At 40.7% G+C, this 18,337-nt stretch overlaps 2 long non-coding RNA genes across 3 annotated transcripts in view, besides 5 other annotated features; one reads left to right on the forward strand and one right to left on the reverse strand.

Annotated features, from left to right (window-relative positions):
• Positions 1-3,191, reverse strand: part of NUTM2A-AS1 (NUTM2A antisense RNA 1) — a 103,892-nt gene extending 100,701 nt beyond the window's left edge. Inside the window, exon 1 of the long non-coding RNA NR_024397.1 lies at positions 2,875-3,191. This is a non-coding gene — a long non-coding RNA (NUTM2A antisense RNA 1). The remainder of the gene's footprint in view (positions 1-2,874) is intronic.
• Positions 2,943-3,550: an enhancer, noted in NCBI's record as "H3K27ac hESC enhancer chr10:89102067-89102674 (GRCh37/hg19 assembly coordinates)". NCBI's record gives its function as "activates a minimal SCP1, AML or CMV promoter by ChIP-STARR-seq in primed H9 embryonic stem cells {active_cell/tissue: H9 hESC(primed)}" and the evidence as "EXISTENCE:reporter gene assay evidence [ECO:0000049][PMID:30033119]".
• Positions 2,990-3,049: a silencer, noted in NCBI's record as "silent region_2580". NCBI's record gives its function as "represses an Ori minimal core promoter by ATAC-STARR-seq in GM12878 lymphoblastoid cells {active_cell/tissue: GM12878}" and the evidence as "EXISTENCE:reporter gene assay evidence [ECO:0000049][PMID:35858748]".
• Positions 3,044-17,935, forward strand: LINC00863 (long intergenic non-protein coding RNA 863). 2 transcript variants are annotated; one of them, NR_135292.1, is made up of 5 exons: positions 3,369-3,770; positions 5,070-5,128; positions 15,253-15,530; positions 15,724-16,058; positions 16,571-17,935. It is a non-coding gene; the product is annotated as a long intergenic non-protein coding RNA 863 (long non-coding RNA). The 2 variants fall into 2 exon arrangements; NR_029408.1 differs by lacking the exons at positions 5,070-5,128; positions 15,253-15,530; positions 15,724-16,058; positions 16,571-17,935 and having other exon boundaries at positions 3,044-4,207.
• Positions 3,700-3,929: a silencer, noted in NCBI's record as "silent region_2581". NCBI's record gives its function as "represses an Ori minimal core promoter by ATAC-STARR-seq in GM12878 lymphoblastoid cells {active_cell/tissue: GM12878}" and the evidence as "EXISTENCE:reporter gene assay evidence [ECO:0000049][PMID:35858748]".
• Positions 15,284-15,790: an enhancer, noted in NCBI's record as "H3K27ac-H3K4me1 hESC enhancer chr10:89114408-89114914 (GRCh37/hg19 assembly coordinates)". NCBI's record gives its function as "activates a minimal SCP1, AML or CMV promoter by ChIP-STARR-seq in primed H9 embryonic stem cells {active_cell/tissue: H9 hESC(primed)}" and the evidence as "EXISTENCE:reporter gene assay evidence [ECO:0000049][PMID:30033119]".
• Positions 15,791-16,297: an enhancer, noted in NCBI's record as "H3K27ac-H3K4me1 hESC enhancer chr10:89114915-89115421 (GRCh37/hg19 assembly coordinates)". NCBI's record gives its function as "activates a minimal SCP1, AML or CMV promoter by ChIP-STARR-seq in primed H9 embryonic stem cells {active_cell/tissue: H9 hESC(primed)}" and the evidence as "EXISTENCE:reporter gene assay evidence [ECO:0000049][PMID:30033119]".
• Positions 17,936-18,337: the final 402 nt, after the last annotated feature.

Raw genomic sequence — 18,337 nt, forward strand, 5'->3', positions numbered from 1 at the left:
AAGTCAAAAGTATGACTTTAACCCATCTAGTGTTATAAGAACCACATAATCTTCAATAAGTTGAAAGTATCTTAATTAAATTAAAAAAATTAATAAAATTTTTTTCAAAAGATGTATTCAAGTTATCAATGTGAAGAAAAATGAACATATTACTTAGAAACAGCCCTGGATTAGAGTCCCAATTATATCACTTAATAATTGTGTGGTTTAGGTAAGCCATGTAAAGTTGCTGTACTACTTAAATTTAAAATAAAGACAATTTTACCTAAACATAAAATTGTTGTAATGTTATTGTGCAGTTATAAATCACTTATTAAATTATAAATTTATGATAAGTATTAAACAGAATACTTAATTTTAAGCCATAAGGTCTTCTATTAGAAAAATACTCTAATATAATGTGATACATCACTCATTTTTATAAATATAAATTTAATTATAGCCTTAATAAAAAATTTTGGAGGTGCATTACCAAGGCTAAATTTATATTTCATAAAATGAACAAATTTAAGATGTGTACCTTAACTTTATGTATTTCTGCACTCATATTCACACCAGCCATATCAAGATAAAGAAGTTTCACTACCACAGAAAATGTTGTGCTGCTTTATTCCAGTCGATAACCACTGGTCAAATTTGTCTGGAATCATATAGATTTTATGCTTTTGTGTCTGACCTATTTTACTCAACATGATATTTTGGAGATTTATCTATGCTGTTTTATGTGTCAATATTTTATTTTGTATTGCTATGTATTATTACTCTGTAAGTCAATATCATAATTTATCTCTTCTCCACTTTATAGATGTTACATCCAGTTTTTGCCTACAAAAAAAACCTGCTGTGAATAATTTTATATCGGTCTCTATTGTGTGAATACACACCCTCATTTATTTTTGGTACATACCTATAAATTGAATCACGATGTCACTGGGTATGTGTGCAGGTTAACTTTATAAGAAATTGCCAAACTTCTTTAAAATATAGCTGTAAATTTACTCTCCCACCACAAATGTATGAGATTTTCTTTGCTTCATAACCTCTTCAACACTTGCTATATTCAGTCCCCAATTTTCTTTCTTAAGAGATGGAGTCTTGCTCTATCACACAGGCTGGAGTAGAGTGGCACAATCATAGCTCACTGCAGCCTTGGACTCCTGGGCTCGAGCTATCCTCCCATATCGGTCTCCAGGTATTTAGCCATTTTAATTTTACCAGTTCTCTTGGATATGTAATGACATCTCACTGAGGTTTTTATTTTCATTTTTTCTGATGACCAACTATGTCATCAGGAGTGAAATCACTGAGTCATAAAGTCATTGCCTGTTAAACTGTTTGTTTGCTTTTTAAAGAAAGTATCAAATTGTTAGAGAATGGCTTTGTTATTTTACATTCCCATCAACCGTGCAGCAGTTAAGTAGTTTCTTTGCAGCCTTGCTAGCACTCAGTGTTGTCATTATTTTTTATTGTAACTATTCCATTGGGTATATATTGAAATCCCATTGGGGTTTTAATTTTTCATTCCCTAATGGCTAATGATGTTGACGTCTTTTCATGCTCTGATTTTCCAAACATATATTCTTTTCAGTGAAATGTATATTCATGTCTTTTGCCCACTTTCTAATTTGACTTTGTTCACTCTTAAGTTTTGAAAGTTCTTTATATATTCTTGCTACTAGTCTTTTTCAGACACATGGCAAGCAAAAGGGGAAGGAAGGAGCACCTTTTTACTGTCAAGTTGAGATGAAGGTCAAGGTTCCCCATTAGGCCTCCTTTGCCACACAAAAAGTAAATACTCTGTGTTTTTAAGATAAAGTAATGGATGCCAAGAAAGACTCAAATTTTTTTTATGTACTAATCATAAAAATGAACTATGATTTATAATTCTTCTCGTCCATTTTCATTATACATAAGTTAAGAAAACAAAATACATCATACTCAATAATAAGAATTCTGAGTAGAAACTCACCAGTTCACCTTAGCTATATTTTCCCTTTTGGGTTTCTTTTACTTTTTTTTCTCTCTCTCCTTTTTCTTTAAAAATTTTGGAGTGTGCAGAGGGATAAGGGTGAGGGAGCGTGGCAAGGAGAGGAGTTCAGATCAGGACAGGGAATGGAGGAGGGCAAGGAGTGAAGGGCACAACCCACAGCCTGGGAAAGAGAGGCATGAAACCCAGCGTGTCAGGTGGACGGATCATGGAATGGGGGGCCAGCGGAGGTTAAGGAAGGAGGGCCCAAAGGTAGGGGTGGGAAAAAGAGAAGAGGAGGAGGAGGAAGTGCGCGTGTGAAGAGTGTTAAGAAAACGACAGGACAGAGCGGGGAGGGGAAAAGCGGGCCGAGGGACAGGGTGAAAGGTGAGAAAGGAGGGTATGAGGAAAGAGGGTCCGGGGCGCTGGGGATTTGGGGAGACGATGGAGCGACGGGTAGAGCAGCTTGGGCCGAGCCGCGGGGGTGGAATCCAGACGCCGGGCGGGGGAGGGGGCGGCGGGGCGGCGGGACGGTGGGTGGGGGCCACCAGGCGGCGCCGGAGACCACCAAACATTACAGCGAGCGAGCCTGCTTCCTGGAGGGAGTGCAGACAAGGACCAGGAGCGGGAGCCGAGCCTCGCGGCCCGGGGCACGGCGCCGCCCGCCCCTCCCCGGCAGTGCCTCCCGACCCCCTGCCCTCCGCTGGGACATGGCCTGAGGCCCCGCCCGCCGCCCGGGACCCCTCCCCCACGCTGCCCCCGGACCCTCGCCCCAGGACCGCGGGGTCTCTTCCCGGCCCCGCCGCCCGCCCCGGCGAGAACAGGCCCGGCGGGCAAGGCGGCGGCGGACCGAGGGAGGCCTGGCCCGGCAGCGGGGAGAAGGGTGCGGCGCAGCCCGAGTTTCCCACCTTTTCTCCTGGCCCAGACGCGGCTGGGGCGGACGGGATCTCTCGCGCTCTGCCTCCTCCTCTTGCTTCATGGAGCCATGCGCCTGGGTGGAGGCTCCCGAGAGAAGCTGGCCTGCGGGCGGGCCGGACGAGCTGCGCGGACGGGGCGGGGCGAAGGAGGCCGGCAGGCGGAGGAGGAAGCGGCGGGGCGGAGGCGGCGGCGGCCGGGAAGAACTAGAGGTATTCCCCGGGCGGCTGGAGGACTGAGTCGAGCCGGGACCCGAGTCCTCCGGTATCCCAGCAGCCACCGGAGGCAGTGAGATAATGGAGGAAGAATGTAGGGAGACCTCCAGTGGACCGCACTCCTTCTAGCGAGCCGCGGAAACCATAGAGATCAGGGCTCAGCCGGAGGGCCGGCCCACTGCTGTCACGTGGCCTCCATCCGTGCGCTTTATTGGCTGGTGCTGGCTTTACGGGGTTGAATTTTGGACGCTGCCTGCCATTCGTGGGACCGAGTTTCAGGCAGCTGGAATAAAGAGAGACATCGGGGGAAAGCCGCGAGAAGGCCAGCGTCCCTGGCTGGGAGCAGAGCTAGCCGAGTAGGGCGCCCGGCTGTCAAACTGGCCGGCGCAGTGCACGCTGGGCCGCCCCGGAGCGGTCGCAGAGCCCGTCGGGAGTCGTAGTCCGGGACGGGCCCGCGGCATTGTCCGCGACGCAGCTCGGGATCCGGGTCGGGGTGTCGGCCGGGTTGCTGCCGGGCACCGTCGAGCGTTAGCCACCCAGCATTGAGCTGCCAGCGGCTGTTCTCCCTAAGCACCCTCGCTCACGTCGCCTCGCCTCGCCTCGCCTGACCGGCCGCAGCCTTGGATACCAGCCTTAAATCGAGCCGACTACGGCCCAGCCCCGCCCGCGGCGAGGTGCGCGGGGTTCGGTGCCAGCCGCTCGCCCCTGGCGGGGCCAGCCTCTTGATGCACCGGGGACGGGCGCCCCCATCCGACTCTTCGAGGGGCGGCAGGGCCCCATCTGTGTCTTTCGCTCTCGAGCCCCCAGCTAGAGTTGGCTTCAGCGGAATACCTACTGTGCGGGATTATTCAACAAGCCGATTGATCACATTCTTCAGCTCTAGCAGTGCAAAGGCTTCACTGAAAAAGAACATTACAAATTTTTTTTGAAAGAAATTTGGGGGTAAATTTAATTTTAAATACTGATTTTTGATAACATTTGATCTTATGACAGCATTTGTATTTTTAATTACAGATAGGATTACACTAAAAGTCATTTCTGACCTGCTCCCTTACCCTTATGGCTAAAATAAACTGCTAGGCCCTGAAGCAAAGGCGAGCCATGTTCTAGAGCAATGTCTTTCTTGTATTAAAATACGGCCCCATGCTCACAAAAAAAAAAAAAAAAAATTTTGGAGTGTAAACATATACATCATCTTAATTTGAGTCCTTATGTGTTGACGGTGTGCAGGGAAGAATGGGAAAGTAACTGTAAGTGGAGCTCAGAAAGAACTAACAAATTCATGAAAAAGTGACATTATTGCTGGTCTATTTTTTTTTTTAAATTTTCTGCTTCCTCACACTCTCCCATACTAAATGAATTATTTAGTGGGTTTTTTTTTTTGTTTTTTTTTTTTTTGTGATACGGAGTTTTGCTATTGTTGCCCAGGCTGGCACGATCTTGGCTCACCGCAACCTCCGCCTCCCAAGTTCAAGTGATTCTCCTACCTCAGCCTCCCAAGTAGCTGGGATTACAGGCATGCACCCCCGCGCCCGGCTAATTTTTTCTGTTTTTATTAGAGACGGGGTTTCTCCATGGTGGTCAGGCTGGTCTCAAACTCCCGACCTTAGGTGATACGCCCACCTCGGCCTCCCAAAGTGCTGGGATTACAGGCGTGAGCCACCGTGCCCGGCCGACAGGTGTTTTTTATGAGTTACAGACTATGTGCTTTCAGAATGAGGCAACCGATTTAAGGATGTAAGCATAATTTAAGGATATTGAAAATGATATAGGAATAAATTTTGTTTAGTCATTCATGGATTTATTCATTTTCAGATGACTATGTGTGTGAATATTTAAGAATTCTAAAACCGCATGGGATTACTTATAACTATATAGGAGCCTAACACGATAATGGAATCAGAATATACTTTGCTGAAGGGAGGAGGCTTTTAACTGAAAGTCTTCTCTCTACGTTTTTATGTCTCTAACAGGAATCCACTGAAGACCTACATTTCCCGGAAGGTTAACAGCCCCCTTCTCAGTTTTCCTGGTAAAGTGTTTTTATATTGGTAGAATACCTTCTGTCACACTCTATATTTTTCTTATCTCAAGTAGAAAAAAATTTTGCCCTTTTGCTTGGGACTGTTAACAGCCCTGGTAGTGGAAAGTAGAAGGAAATGATTCTGTGAATTTTCTGTTATATAAATTTTAGCCAGTTTAGGACTTTTGAATGAGGGGCCATACAGCCAAGGATTTAGGATTTCAGCTCAGGAAAGAAAACTGCATAGGTGTTTAATTGTGTCCTAGCCACTTATTAGCTGGGTAACTTTGAGCAAGTTTTATACATATCCTTCCCATGAGTTTTTCATTTCTAATACTGGCTGTGTAATACAGTATGTTTCATAGACTTGCTGTAATAATCGATGGAGTGTATCTAATAGTGTTTATTTTACTGTAACTGGGCCACAGTTAGGAAGTACTCAATTAAAATTAGCCGTCATTATTCCTAGTATTAATATGGTGATGAACAGCTAAAGAGCATTTAAATAATTATCATTAATATGGATAAATTTTGACCATACCTGAATAAATATTTATAATATAACTGTTGAGAGTATACAAGTTTAATATTTTAGGGAAATACAATGTCAAATTCTATCAAGCTCTATTTTCAAACTAAAACAATAGCAGTTTGCTTTCAGATATTTTGAATATTATTGTGACATTTCCCCCTTCTACCTTTCTGGGACCTTGGATACAGGAACCATGTAAGGGTAAATCGTTTAGGTCTTCGTTGTGGGACAGGGGTGATATACTACAGTTCCACAGGGGCTGAGCCAGGTTTCAAGGGTGAGATAGAGAGCTGATGGTAAAAATAACAATGAGAGCAAAGGCCAAAATGTATGGAGTATTTATTATGTGTCAGACATTTTTCACTAAGCATTCTAGTACAATATTTCTTCAGATCTATGAAGATCTTAATCTTAAGTAGTAAATGGTTTTATTATAACCACTATACAAAATAGAAACACTAACATAAAAAGGTTAAATAATCTGTTTAAATTATCTTGGATTATCAACCCAATTAGCTGTGTCCTCAGAACAGAAGCTGGTAGCACTACACTGAACTATACCACACTTGCAAGCCTTCAGAGGAAAATTCCCTAAGAGAAAATGGTATTTATGACTCAATATTTCTTCCCATACCCTCAGTGACTTACGTTATTTATTTACTAAATGCCAAAGCAGATAGTCCAATAGGAAATATGTAGCTAAATGGCCTGCGAAGAGAAGGGAATGTCAAATAACAGGCAAAATAGAATCTGACACCCTAGGTCTCAGCAAGTGTTTTGAATGGACAATAAAGAAAGTGACTAGAATGTAACCTCTGAAAAAATGTTGTGAAGCACCAATGGCCTTGAAAAAATCTAGGGAGCTGATGTAAAGGACATCCACTTCATAATGACAATTGTTGAACAAATTACTTGTTGGAGATGGAGTTGCAGACAAAACAAATATTTACCACTGCTTTAAAATACGTTTATTGTACTCAGGAGAAGAGTCTGGAACTGTGGTTTCAGAATGAGCTTATCCAACAGTAAGAAGAGGACTGGGGCATACCTTTTAAAATAATAATGATATATTTATAATCATCCTAGTGTGATTTATTTACCTTTTAGTAAATCAAGTTCTCAGAAAACTAAAGTAAAAAAATCTTAACATTACATATGCAGGACTTAATCTGAATAATCATAAATTTTCATAAACTTAATTTACATACCACACCATAGTAGCTGTGATATAGTAAATTAATAAGTTTTTTGTACTATGGTGTAACTCTTTCATCCTAAGAATAAAAAAGATTCTATTATGTCAAAAGACATGTATCTGGATGGTTAAAAAAATCCAATCATACATAACTGAAGAAAATGTAGGTATTTTAGTGGAATAAGAATGTGATATATGAAAACAGAAAAATAAATATCTTCAATGTTACTTAAAGAAACAGAATTAACAAAGATGTATCATGGAAGAGAGGATAGTTCTGTAAAAACACATAAAATAACTTTCAAAGATGAAAATTTTACATATGTAAAAGCATTTGTCAATGAAAGTAATAATAATTCCATTCATGCATTTGTTCATGTATAACCAATAACTTACTTGTGATGCCATAGAAAAAATTCAAGCATCAAACTGAAAAGCAGATTTTAATAGGTAAGAAACTAGTGGCCTTTAAGCTGACAATATATTTGTTTGAATAAAAAATATTATTATTTTAAAATAATCAAATTAGCAAAATACAAAAAAAAACATTTCACATGAATATCTTAATTTTTGGTATGTGTTTAAATATCAGGACATTTACTCATATTCTTCATAAACAGAGTCATAAGTCTTAGTAGATGCTGCCATGTGTAGGCGGGTTGTCTTCTCTAATTATCCTCAGTCCCCACCATTCCATAGTGTCCCCAAGTAGGGATATTACTGACATTTTTCATTTATTGCCATAATTTAGCTGTTGTTTTTCACAGTCAGCTTGCCTTCTTTATTTTAATATTTGTATACCACATAGGCATCTCAGTGTTTCACTCTTGCTATGAGACAGCCATAGATCTCTTTTGACCTAGAGTTTTTTATTCTCTTTGTTTTTCAAAATTATTTTCCCTAAAAGAATGGAACCTATGAGCCTCCAAATCGTGCATTTAAACTCAATCACCTCTAGAAAACAATGGTAAACTATTCAGAAAGAATGAAGAGAATAAGTGAATTCTCCAAACCCAGAGCTAATGAGTGCCAGCTCTGAAAATGAAGTCCTTGATTCTTGACATCTGGCCTAGTGTGCCTAGGAAGTATAATCAGTTACTCTGACTCAGTCATTTTAATAATTGAAGTAAACTACTTAACAGTTAAACATTATATACTTAAAATACTTAAATTAGCTTAGATATAATCGAAGAATTTCACTTTTTAACTCCAAATAATGAAGTGTTTGGTTGTAGGGTATTAGATCTTTCATGGAAGAAAGTAGTCCCGTAAGTCTAAGTACAAATTTCAAATGTAAAATAAAACTGATCAAGCCAGAGACCAGGTTTGGCAAAAAGTATCATTTGATATGACTTGTAAAATGTCAATTATTGTGAACAATTTTAAAAAGACCTCATCAGACCATATTGCATGTTCTCATAAAGGGGAAAAGAAGTATATAACAGCATGTACTGAATACTGTATACCCATTATACATCGGGCTTTTTAGATTCATTCTACCATTTAATTTTTATGGACATGCTGGGGATACGGTATTGTTATCATCCTTATTCTTTAGTGAGAACTGAGATTTACAAAAGAATAAGTAAATTTTCCAAAATTAATTACTGATAATGTGTACACAGACCATTTCCAAATTCATGAGATAATTGCTGTTTTAGTTACTTTGGGCTGTTAAAACAAATTACCGTAGACTGGGTGACTTAATCAGAAAACGCGTGTTCTCACAGTTCTGGAGGCTGGAAAATTTAAGACAAAGGTGCTTGCACATCCAGTGACTGATGAGGGCCTGTTTCTTTGTTTGCACATGGCCATTTTCTCATTGTATACTGACATGGCAGAGACTGAGAGAGAGAAAGAGATTATCTCTTTGATGTCTCTTCCTGTAAGAGTATTAATCTCATTCACCAACTAATTACTTCCCAAGGGCCCACCACTGAATACTATCACACTGGGGACTAGGGTTTCACCATACGAATTTTGAAGGCACATAGACATTCAGTTTTAGCAACTGCTAACAATATTACTCTTACACAACCATTTTTCTCACTTAAATATTTTCAATCAATTATTTAATAAATGGAAGCAGTGGGATTACCTTGGTATGACCATAAGAATTTATCTGGGAGATGTCTATGTGTGTGTGCATGTGTGTGTGTATGTTTATCGTGGGGAAGAAGTTTGTGAGTAGAAGCAGTGGATTGAGAATCTGGATAAGAAAATATTCTATTGATCCTGGTGATTTGAATGTACGATAGGAGCTGGTTGTCAACTGATTTAATCAGTGGGTATTTCAGTATGAGGCATAGTTGGTGACTGAGCTTTCATGTGGTAATCTGAGGTGAATATTGACATAGAATTAGAATTATAACTCACATAAATTCACACAAAAACATTTTTACATTGCCTACTGATTTTTATACATATAACCAAGAAATAAAGTATATGGTGGCCACCTTTCTCCAGGGATTTATAGGGTAATTAGATGAACTCTTCCAATAATTATAAAAATAAGAACTGAAATAACAAGTGCATATTCTGAATTACAAAAATCATTCAAAGTAACAAAAAGCTTATATCTTTGATCCCAATAACCTATTTTAATTTTCTTTTTAAAATAAAAGTGTTAGAGGCAAAAAAAAAGCCATAACTAAACCAAGTACAGATAAAGGAAATAAGAATGAGAAACAGTGTATGTGTGTGTGTATGTGTGGGCATGCCTATAGGTATAGTTGTGTGTGAATTTAAGTGAACACACTTACTAATTGAATAAAATACAGTAAGTGTTTGTATATGTATCTGCATGTTTGTGTCGTATTTTGGAGTTGTTATTCAGCTTTTACAGAATATTCAAATAGAAAACCAAATAAGATTGTCACCTATATTGCATAAATAACCAGAGAAAAGTCACTTAAGTGGCCATAAAAGAAATGTTGAACATAAATGCAGAGAATTCTATTTAGAGTAAGAATGCCCACATGTATTACAGTCCCCAAAAAGCAATTAAGCAGAAGAAATTGCTTTCAGAGCTTGGAAAGATTTAAAGTGTTACCATTAAAGTTTGAGTTGGATGTTACTCCATGAAGAGAATATATCCTTAAACACTGCTGCCCTGTGCATCAGAACATACTCACTCCGATATTGGACCTGTTGCTGGTTAGAAATGTCTTGACAAATGGGATCTAATTAAACTAAAGAGCTTCTGCACAGCAAAAGAAACTACCGTCAGAGTGAACAGGCAACCTACAGAACGGGAAAAAAATTTTGCAATCTATCCATCTGACAAAGGACTAATATCCAGAGTTTACAAAGAATTTAAACAAATTCACAAGAGAAAAACAACCCCATCAAAAAGTGGGTGAGGCCGGGCGCGGTGGCTCACGCCTGTAATCCCAGCACTTTGGGAGGCCGAGACGGGCAGATCACGAGGTCAGGAGATCGAGACCATCCTGGCTAACACGGTGAAACCCCGTCTCTACTAAAAATACAAAAATTAGCCGGGCATGGTGCGCACGCCTGTAGTCCCAGCTACACGGGAGGCTGCGGCAGGAGAATGGCGTGAACCCGGGAGGCGGAGCTTGCAGTGAGTCGAGATCGCGCCACTGCACTCCAGCCTGGGCGACAGAGCGAAACTCCGTCTCAAAAAAAAAAAAAAAAAAAAAGTGGGTGAAGGAAATGAACAGACACTTTTCAAAAGAAGGCATTTATGTGGCCAAAAACGTGAAAAAAAGCTCATCATTACAGAAATGGTCATTACAGAAATGCAAATCAAAACCACAATGAGATACCATCTCAGGCCAGTTAGAATGGCAATCATTAAAAACTCAGGAAACAACAGATGCCAGGATGTGAAGAAACAGGAACACTTTTACACTGTTGGTGGGAGTGTAAATTAGTTCAGCCATTGTGGAAGACAGTGTGGTGATTCCTCAAGGATCTAGAACTAGAAATACCATTTGACCCAGTAATCCCATTACTGGGTATATACCCAAAGGATTATAAATCATTCTTCTATAAAGACATATGCACATGTATGTTTATTGCAGCACTATTTACAATAGCAAAGACTTGGAACCAACCCAAATGCCCATTAATGATAGACTGGATAAAGAAAATGTGGCACACATACACCACGGAATACTATGCAGCCATAAAAAAGAATGAGTTCATGTTCTTTGCAGGGATGTGGATGAAGCTGGAAACCATCATTATCAGCAAACTAACACAGGAACAGAAAACCAAACACCACATGTTCTCACTCAGAAGTGGGAGTTGAACAATGACATGTGGGCACATGGAGGGAAACATCACACACTGGGGCCTGTCACGGGGTGGGGGGCAAGGGGAGGGATAGCATTAAGAGAAATACGTAATGCAGATGACAGGTTGATGGGCAGCAAACCATCATGGCACATGTATACCTATGTAAGAAGCCTGCATCTTCTACACATGTATAACTTAAGTATCATAAAAAGAAAGAAATGTTTTCATTAATAATATTTCTCACCTTTTCTAGATATAAATTTAATTCACAGTTGGGCAGGGCATGGTGCCTCACACCTATAATCCGAGCACTTTGGGAGCCCGAGGCACGCGGATCACCTGAGGTTAGGAGTTCAAGACCAGCCTGGGCAACATGGTGAAACCCCGTCTCTACTAAAAATACAAAAATTACTACTCGGGAGGCTGAGGTAGGAGAGTCGCTTGAACCCGGGAGACAGAGGTTTCAGTGAGCCCAGATCGCGCCACCATACTCCAGCCTGGGCAACAGAGCGATGCTCCATCTTAAAAAAAAAAAAAATCAAAATAAAATACAATAAAAAATAAAAATAAAATTTAATTCACAGTTGTAACCAGCCTAAATTAAAAATATTTCTTAAGAAAAAGATTGAGACTTTATGTTTTAGATAGTTGTGTTTTTATGACAGAATACCTACACACACACACACACACACACACACACACACACACACACAGACAAACTAAAGAACTTTTTCTGTTATATATCAAATCATACTTTTGTTAGTGTGTTTAATTTTATTTTATCTTTCTGTGTGTTTCTCTCATCAATTTATCTATTATCTGTCTCTTAATCAATCCATCCATTCATCCTTCCATTCAATCTTCTATTACTTTTAATATTTTTAAATAAACTGCCTTGTTGCTGTGATTTGTATTAATGTAGACTGGCAGAGCCTGAAATGACAGAAAGACTTTTATTTGCATGGAATCTCCTGGAATCAGCTAATAATTCACTATGGACTCTATTTACTCAGATTAATAACTGTGCAGAAATGTCATTACCTGAAGAGCACAAATCTGGGGACAGACAGAATTTTAATCATGGGCTCTGTCATGACTGATTGGTGATTTTGGTTGCTTAAATAATCCAGACTCTAGTCTCCTCAATTATAAAACAGGGAATAATAATGGACTTTATTATATGTTAAGCAACATAAATTGCTTTGGGTATTCAAAGAAGATAATTAATTGCCGTGGATTAGGAATCTGAAATAGAAGCTTGAATTCCCAGGAGTGAAACAAATTTAGCAATATTTGCATGACTATTGGAGAACCAGGCCACTTAACAGGTATACGTATGCCCCTCTGACTACCTCCTAGATATTTTCTGCCACGTCAGCAGTAGGCAGAGGACCAGTTGGCTTAGTGTCTATATTGTTTACATGTGGCAGCTCAAACAATGTGATATGAATATGAACTAAGGAGGGAGACACTTCACACTTAACATCTGTTCTTCAGTTTCCCCAACAGGATGCCTCCAAATGTGAAAGGAAACTCATCAATAACAAGCTGAGAAATGAGTCTAAACAACTGACATTTTGGAATAACATATTTGACATTTGTGAGGTCCACTGGTTGTGGCTTAATCAAGAAAGCCATCAGATATCCACAGTATCCATCTTTTAGGCATACACATCTAAAAAACACATCCATTTGTCTTATTTTAAATCCATATTTTAACGTTCAAAATATTATTTCATGGATATTTTGCCACACGATTATGCTAGTTTTTACTATTTTCTCCCCTAGTGTGTAAAAGTACAAGAGAATACAAATTCCTTGGCAAGTCAGTTATTTAGTCATTTCAAATTTTGATATTTCCAGAAGTCATGAGGATTCTTCTCTCACAGATGTGATTATAAAACACATTTGATTTACCAACTTTTAGACTTCTGTTTTCTACAAATTAGCTCTCTTGCGCAAGTGGAGAAATAGCATATGTATTTGGTACTAAGTTTCCCTCATAATTGTCAGAACCTCACCATTTATTGTTTTGTAGAAACTGGGATTTAAAAAAAATTAGACCATATGATAATTTTGATATTAATACTCTTCTGAAAGACTAAGTGAATGAACTAGTCATCTATATTCACTGATTAAAAACAAAATAAGACAAACTTATTCCATAGTACTTTGGGTTTGTCTAAAAAAATATTCGTTTATAAATACTATTTCTGAGGGACAATAGCATTTCTCTAGGATACATCTATGTACATGCAACTGAAGAAAATAGCTTTTAAATTTACTTTATCTCTTGTAGTAGTTTTATAGCTACATAAGAGTATTGTAATGCAAAAGGTACATCATAAAAACTGCTTTGTTATATGTTGTGTGCATTTGTATTTGTGTATTTACATATCGACAACGTACTCACTATTGTTCAGTAGCATATTTTATGATGAATGATGAAACCAGTACAAATTACATGTGAATTTGACTTATGAACTCTTCACATCCACTACCTCATAAACACTACAAGCTAGAGAATGTAGGGACTTGAATCCACAAACCACAGATGTCAAGATTAATCTATTACGTTTTGAGTACTTGAAACTGCCTGTACAATTGAATTTATAGCTGTTTTTTAAAAAAGAAAATAGAAATGAGAAGTGCTACAGCAATCATACTTTGTGATTTAAAAGAAAATAAATACTATTAGTTCATGCCCAGAAAAACAAAAACAAAAAACTATGGGAACTTTATTACCCTTATCTATACTCTCCCACCTGCAAGAAAAAATGCCTCTCCTCACAATGAATAACACTAGGTAGAGGAAATATTTCTGCTTAGTTTTAGAAGGAAGAGAAAAAAAATTTTTGAAACATTCATCGGTAAATAAGAATCTGAAGGAAAAGGCAATGTGGAGGAGGATAGGGCATGACTTCACTGCTGGGAGGGAGATGTAGCCTGGCAGGCTCACAGCGACTTTTTCATAGTCAGAGCCACCTACCCAAAGGTAGAAACCAAAGCAAGTATAAATCAGAAAAATAATCCTCAGTATATTACATTTAATGTCAAAACATACTTTGTAGAATATGTGAACTGCAGTCTTATTTTGAGAGCTAATCTAGAATTATGATTATATTTGGAAGCCTGATTCTGTTTGCCTCATTTGGTCCATTTGGTTGTACATTAAGGCTTGAACATAAGGTTTGTGATATAAAGCTGTCTTTAAATAGGCTCCATGACATTTAAAGTTATCTGCTGGGAAATAATCAACTTTTTCAAATTCATAATAGCCTTGCTTTGGGGAAATTAGTTTTGATTTGATGAGCAAATGGATCACTGAGATGGGGAGTAGTGATGGGAAGCAGTCATAGAAACCACTAGTTAACACATGTCACGGCTAATAATATCAGGTATTTTGATGCTAGTGTCAATGGGATCCAGCATGCCAGTTAATTTCAAAGAAAATAAACAACAACAAACACTTTGATTGTGTTATACAACCTGCAGTCATTATTTTCTATTAGCTGTTATCTACCTGTTTATCCATTGATTGATTCATCAGTGTGTGTATGTGTGTGTGTGCATTTCAGAATGGAATGAGTGATGAAAATTATATTCTTTCGTGCATAGATATTTGTAGAGGGCCTGCTGTGTGCCAGATATTAAGCAATTGCAATTGAGTAAAATAGTATTTAAAAACTACTCACAGCCTTCAAGGAGCACAGCGTCTAACTAGGGAACTCAGACAAGTAAATAGGCAATTACAGTGTAGGATAGTTCTGGGGATCAGAAAACAAAACCCCCAAATGAAAGCCTCAGCTGCAGCCTCAGAAACAAACATTTTTCTCTGACCTTCTCCAGTCCTCTTGTCTCTTAGTTCTATTCTCCCATAAGGCTGGCCATGGAAACTAGAATCTCTCTTCCACAACAGTGGGTCATAGTAGACAGAACCCCTAGAACCCCTTTTCTCCAAAGCCAGCCATAAAACCTATGGCTTTACTGCATTTTTTATTATGTCTTTATTTGTAAATCCCACATAAGTAAGCGATTCTCATGGAAGCTTTTCTTGACTTTGGCCACACTCTTGCATCCACAACCAACTTGTGCTACCAAGTGAACAAACTATGACTAAAGGCCTGTTCTTCCACTTTGCAGCTGCTCCTATCAGTGACAAATCAGCGTATTAGAACATGCATGCTGGCTGATCATTCTGATCAAGTCAACAAGCTTCACAACTTACTCAATGAGGTCGTCCGTGAGAACTTCACTGTTTTACGGGGACAGGAGCTACTTCTTTGCTGAACTGCATCACGGTTTCAACTGCTGAGGTTTTCTTCAAGCTTTTGCATTGTTTGGAATGTGAAGGGCATGGCCGAGACACACTTTGAGGTTCCCACTGCATTGTTACACCTCCCCCCTCACTTCAGGGCCAGGTGAGCAAGGGAAAGGAGCGTGGCCTGGGCGTCCCGCAGGGCCCCCACTAGGAAAGCTATGAACGCTCCCGCCTTGAGCACAGCCACAGGCCTGCTCTGGTCACAATGTGGGGTCGCCCCACGGACACTGGTGACCAGTGGGAGCATGACCAGGAGGTGATTACCTTCTGATCACCCTTGGCTTTATTTTTAGGTAACACCAAGAAGGACGCCATGAGAGCGAAGGCCGTTGGGTCACCGCCCTTTGCTCTCGCGCTGCGCGTCTCCCTGCCATCAACCGCCGCAACTGGCGCTGGGAGCGGTTGAGGGCGGCCGGCCTCGCGCTGGAACCTCGCCCGCCTCAAGGCTCCTGCGGCGGCACACGGGGCAGGCCAGGACCCGCCCTAGGAGGGCCCCGCTGGAGATGTGGAAATGGAGGGACGCGGCACCTGGGCGCTTCCTGGGGCCAGACAACGCCCCCTCATTGGAACCTCCATGACCCTGCCTCTGAGAAACCAGCGCGTCCGCAACGATCACTCCTAATTTTCGGTAATACAAACCTGCAGTCCATGCACTTAGGTAACACCCTTGCTGAAAGGTTTACCTTTGGAGGGTTTATCCTAAAGCAAAGTATCCTCAAATTGCATGTCTTGCATTCCCTTTGGATGGCATTGATTTCATTCCTGCTCATGCCTTTCAAAAAATAGTATGCCCTGTTTTCCTACTCAGTCTGGAGGTTCCATTAAAGAGTATTTCTGGCAAAGATTTTTAGACCTGAAAACACACTCCAAAATATATTTTCTTCTGACTCCATTCCCAGAGTTTTTCCTACCGCATTCAAATGATTTCTAGAAATGTTTTTGTTGTAGCCTTGATCAATTTCAGTCGATAAAGCAGCAGATAGTAAGGGAACAATTCCACGCTCCCCACCCCTGACTCTGCAACACAGTGCAGAATTCCAGTTGGCAATAAAAAACTAGTAGAGAAGGAACTCACTGACTTCAGTTTGTAATACCGTCAGAAGAAACTTTAATCGTCACATCCTTTCTGCTCATTTGCAGGATTCCTATCATCTGTCTCCACGTGATAACACTGAAGAGCCTTCACATTGATGCAGGCCCAGGGCCTCAAGTGCAGAGACTGAGAGCTCTGCAGGACACAGCATGGAGCCGCCATTCCTCTACTGGGTGGAGGAGCATGTGTCCTCTGAACAGGGGATCCAAGCCCTGAGATGTTCTTTCTCAGCTGTCAGTGCGGCCCAGGACTTTCTGTGGGGATGCTCAGACAGCGGGCCGGAGGACTTTTAGCCACCACCTCCCATGGCCAGTCTTCACAAATTACCCTTGGCTAATTTGACTGTCTCTCCTCCTGGGGTCTAGGACTTCAAACATGTACAGAAGCGATTGCAGAATTAAGACAAGACACTTCCACAATATATTTTTTGTATCACTGGCTCAGAAAAAGACTCATTCAAATCCTGTATCAAAGCCACGTGTGAGAATCTTGAGAAAGCATCAGCTGACTGACTTGACAAGGGAGGAAGCAACCAAAAATTCTGCGCTTCTTCAGTATCTGAGTATGATATTTTGCTTCAACATCCCTCTTAGATGAAGTTATTGATTGAAAATCATTTAAGTTTGCCCCATGGTAAAAGATCAAGTCCTCAGAAAGATCTCCAAAGTGTTTACGGTTTGTTTTGTTTTGGTAAGTTTACCATGATTTTGCTTGAATTGCTCTCCGTTGATCTTCTCAGCTAAGATGGAGGTAGAGAGTTGCACAGTGGAAGAGGGCTGCATGTAAGAAGGCAGTTCTGTCTCAGAGGACAAAAGGCCTGGGAGCACCCAGACAGACAGTCACTGCATGGAGGTCACTCCCCTCCCAGTGGCCACTGTGGAGACATTTCACAGAAATGCTTGCTGGACCATTCAGGTTCAGAGTTGGGACAAAACCGAGAACTCATGGGGATATTGGACAGGAGTTAGGAAATGACCTTCTCACACAACTGGGGCAGTGGGGGAGAACCCTGGGCTTGAGACTTGCAATCCACCACTTGCCCCTGCCCCTGCCCCTGCAGTGTGGCCGCTGTTACCTTTTCCTGCAACTCTGCCTTCTTGAGTCCAAATGTCTTCGAAAGGGGCAAATGCTCGTAAGTGCCGACAGGGTGTGTTTCAGTGAATGTTTGCAGTGTGCACCGGTCTGGCTGAAGGCCTCTTCCCTTCCCCAACACCCTCCCATCGTGCAAAATTACCCTGCCCAGCAGGGAGTGACTTGTGTGTCTCAGAAGATTTTGTTGCTGTGCTCTGAGTTCTCACTCCTCATCTCCTTTGACCAGTTTCTTCTAATACTCCCCTTGTTCACAACACAGAACATGAGTGCTCTTTCCTATCATTTTGACACTAATAAACGGACAGTGATTCTCAGTGTGGAAATGAGAATGAAGTTTTTTTTAAAGACAGGCTACAATAATTCCCATGCAGAGAACCACATGCGATGACACTGGATTCCAGACAGCAAGAACGTATGGTGAAGATGAGGCCAACAGTGAGCTGAGAGAGGCCAGCCAGGGTGTGTTTCAGTGAAGATGAGAAACAATCAGATAACACCTGTTTCCTCCAGGAAAGAAAATGTGGCCAGGGAAAAGAGATGGGAGGAAGGCCGGTCATTGCCTATTCCACTGTGCACAGTTTGAATTTGGAGCCATGAAAAGTATTGCTTGGTTAAATTAAAATCATTCAAAAGATAAAACATAAATATTTAACACCAGCACAATATGCTGGGAAACAAAATGAAAGGATTTCTGGTCTCGGTGCTGTAGGTCACATAGCCAC

Source organism: Homo sapiens, chromosome 10, assembly GCF_000001405.40.
Source record: "Homo sapiens chromosome 10, GRCh38.p14 Primary Assembly".
NCBI classification, from domain to species: Eukaryota; Metazoa; Chordata; class Mammalia; order Primates; family Hominidae; genus Homo; species Homo sapiens.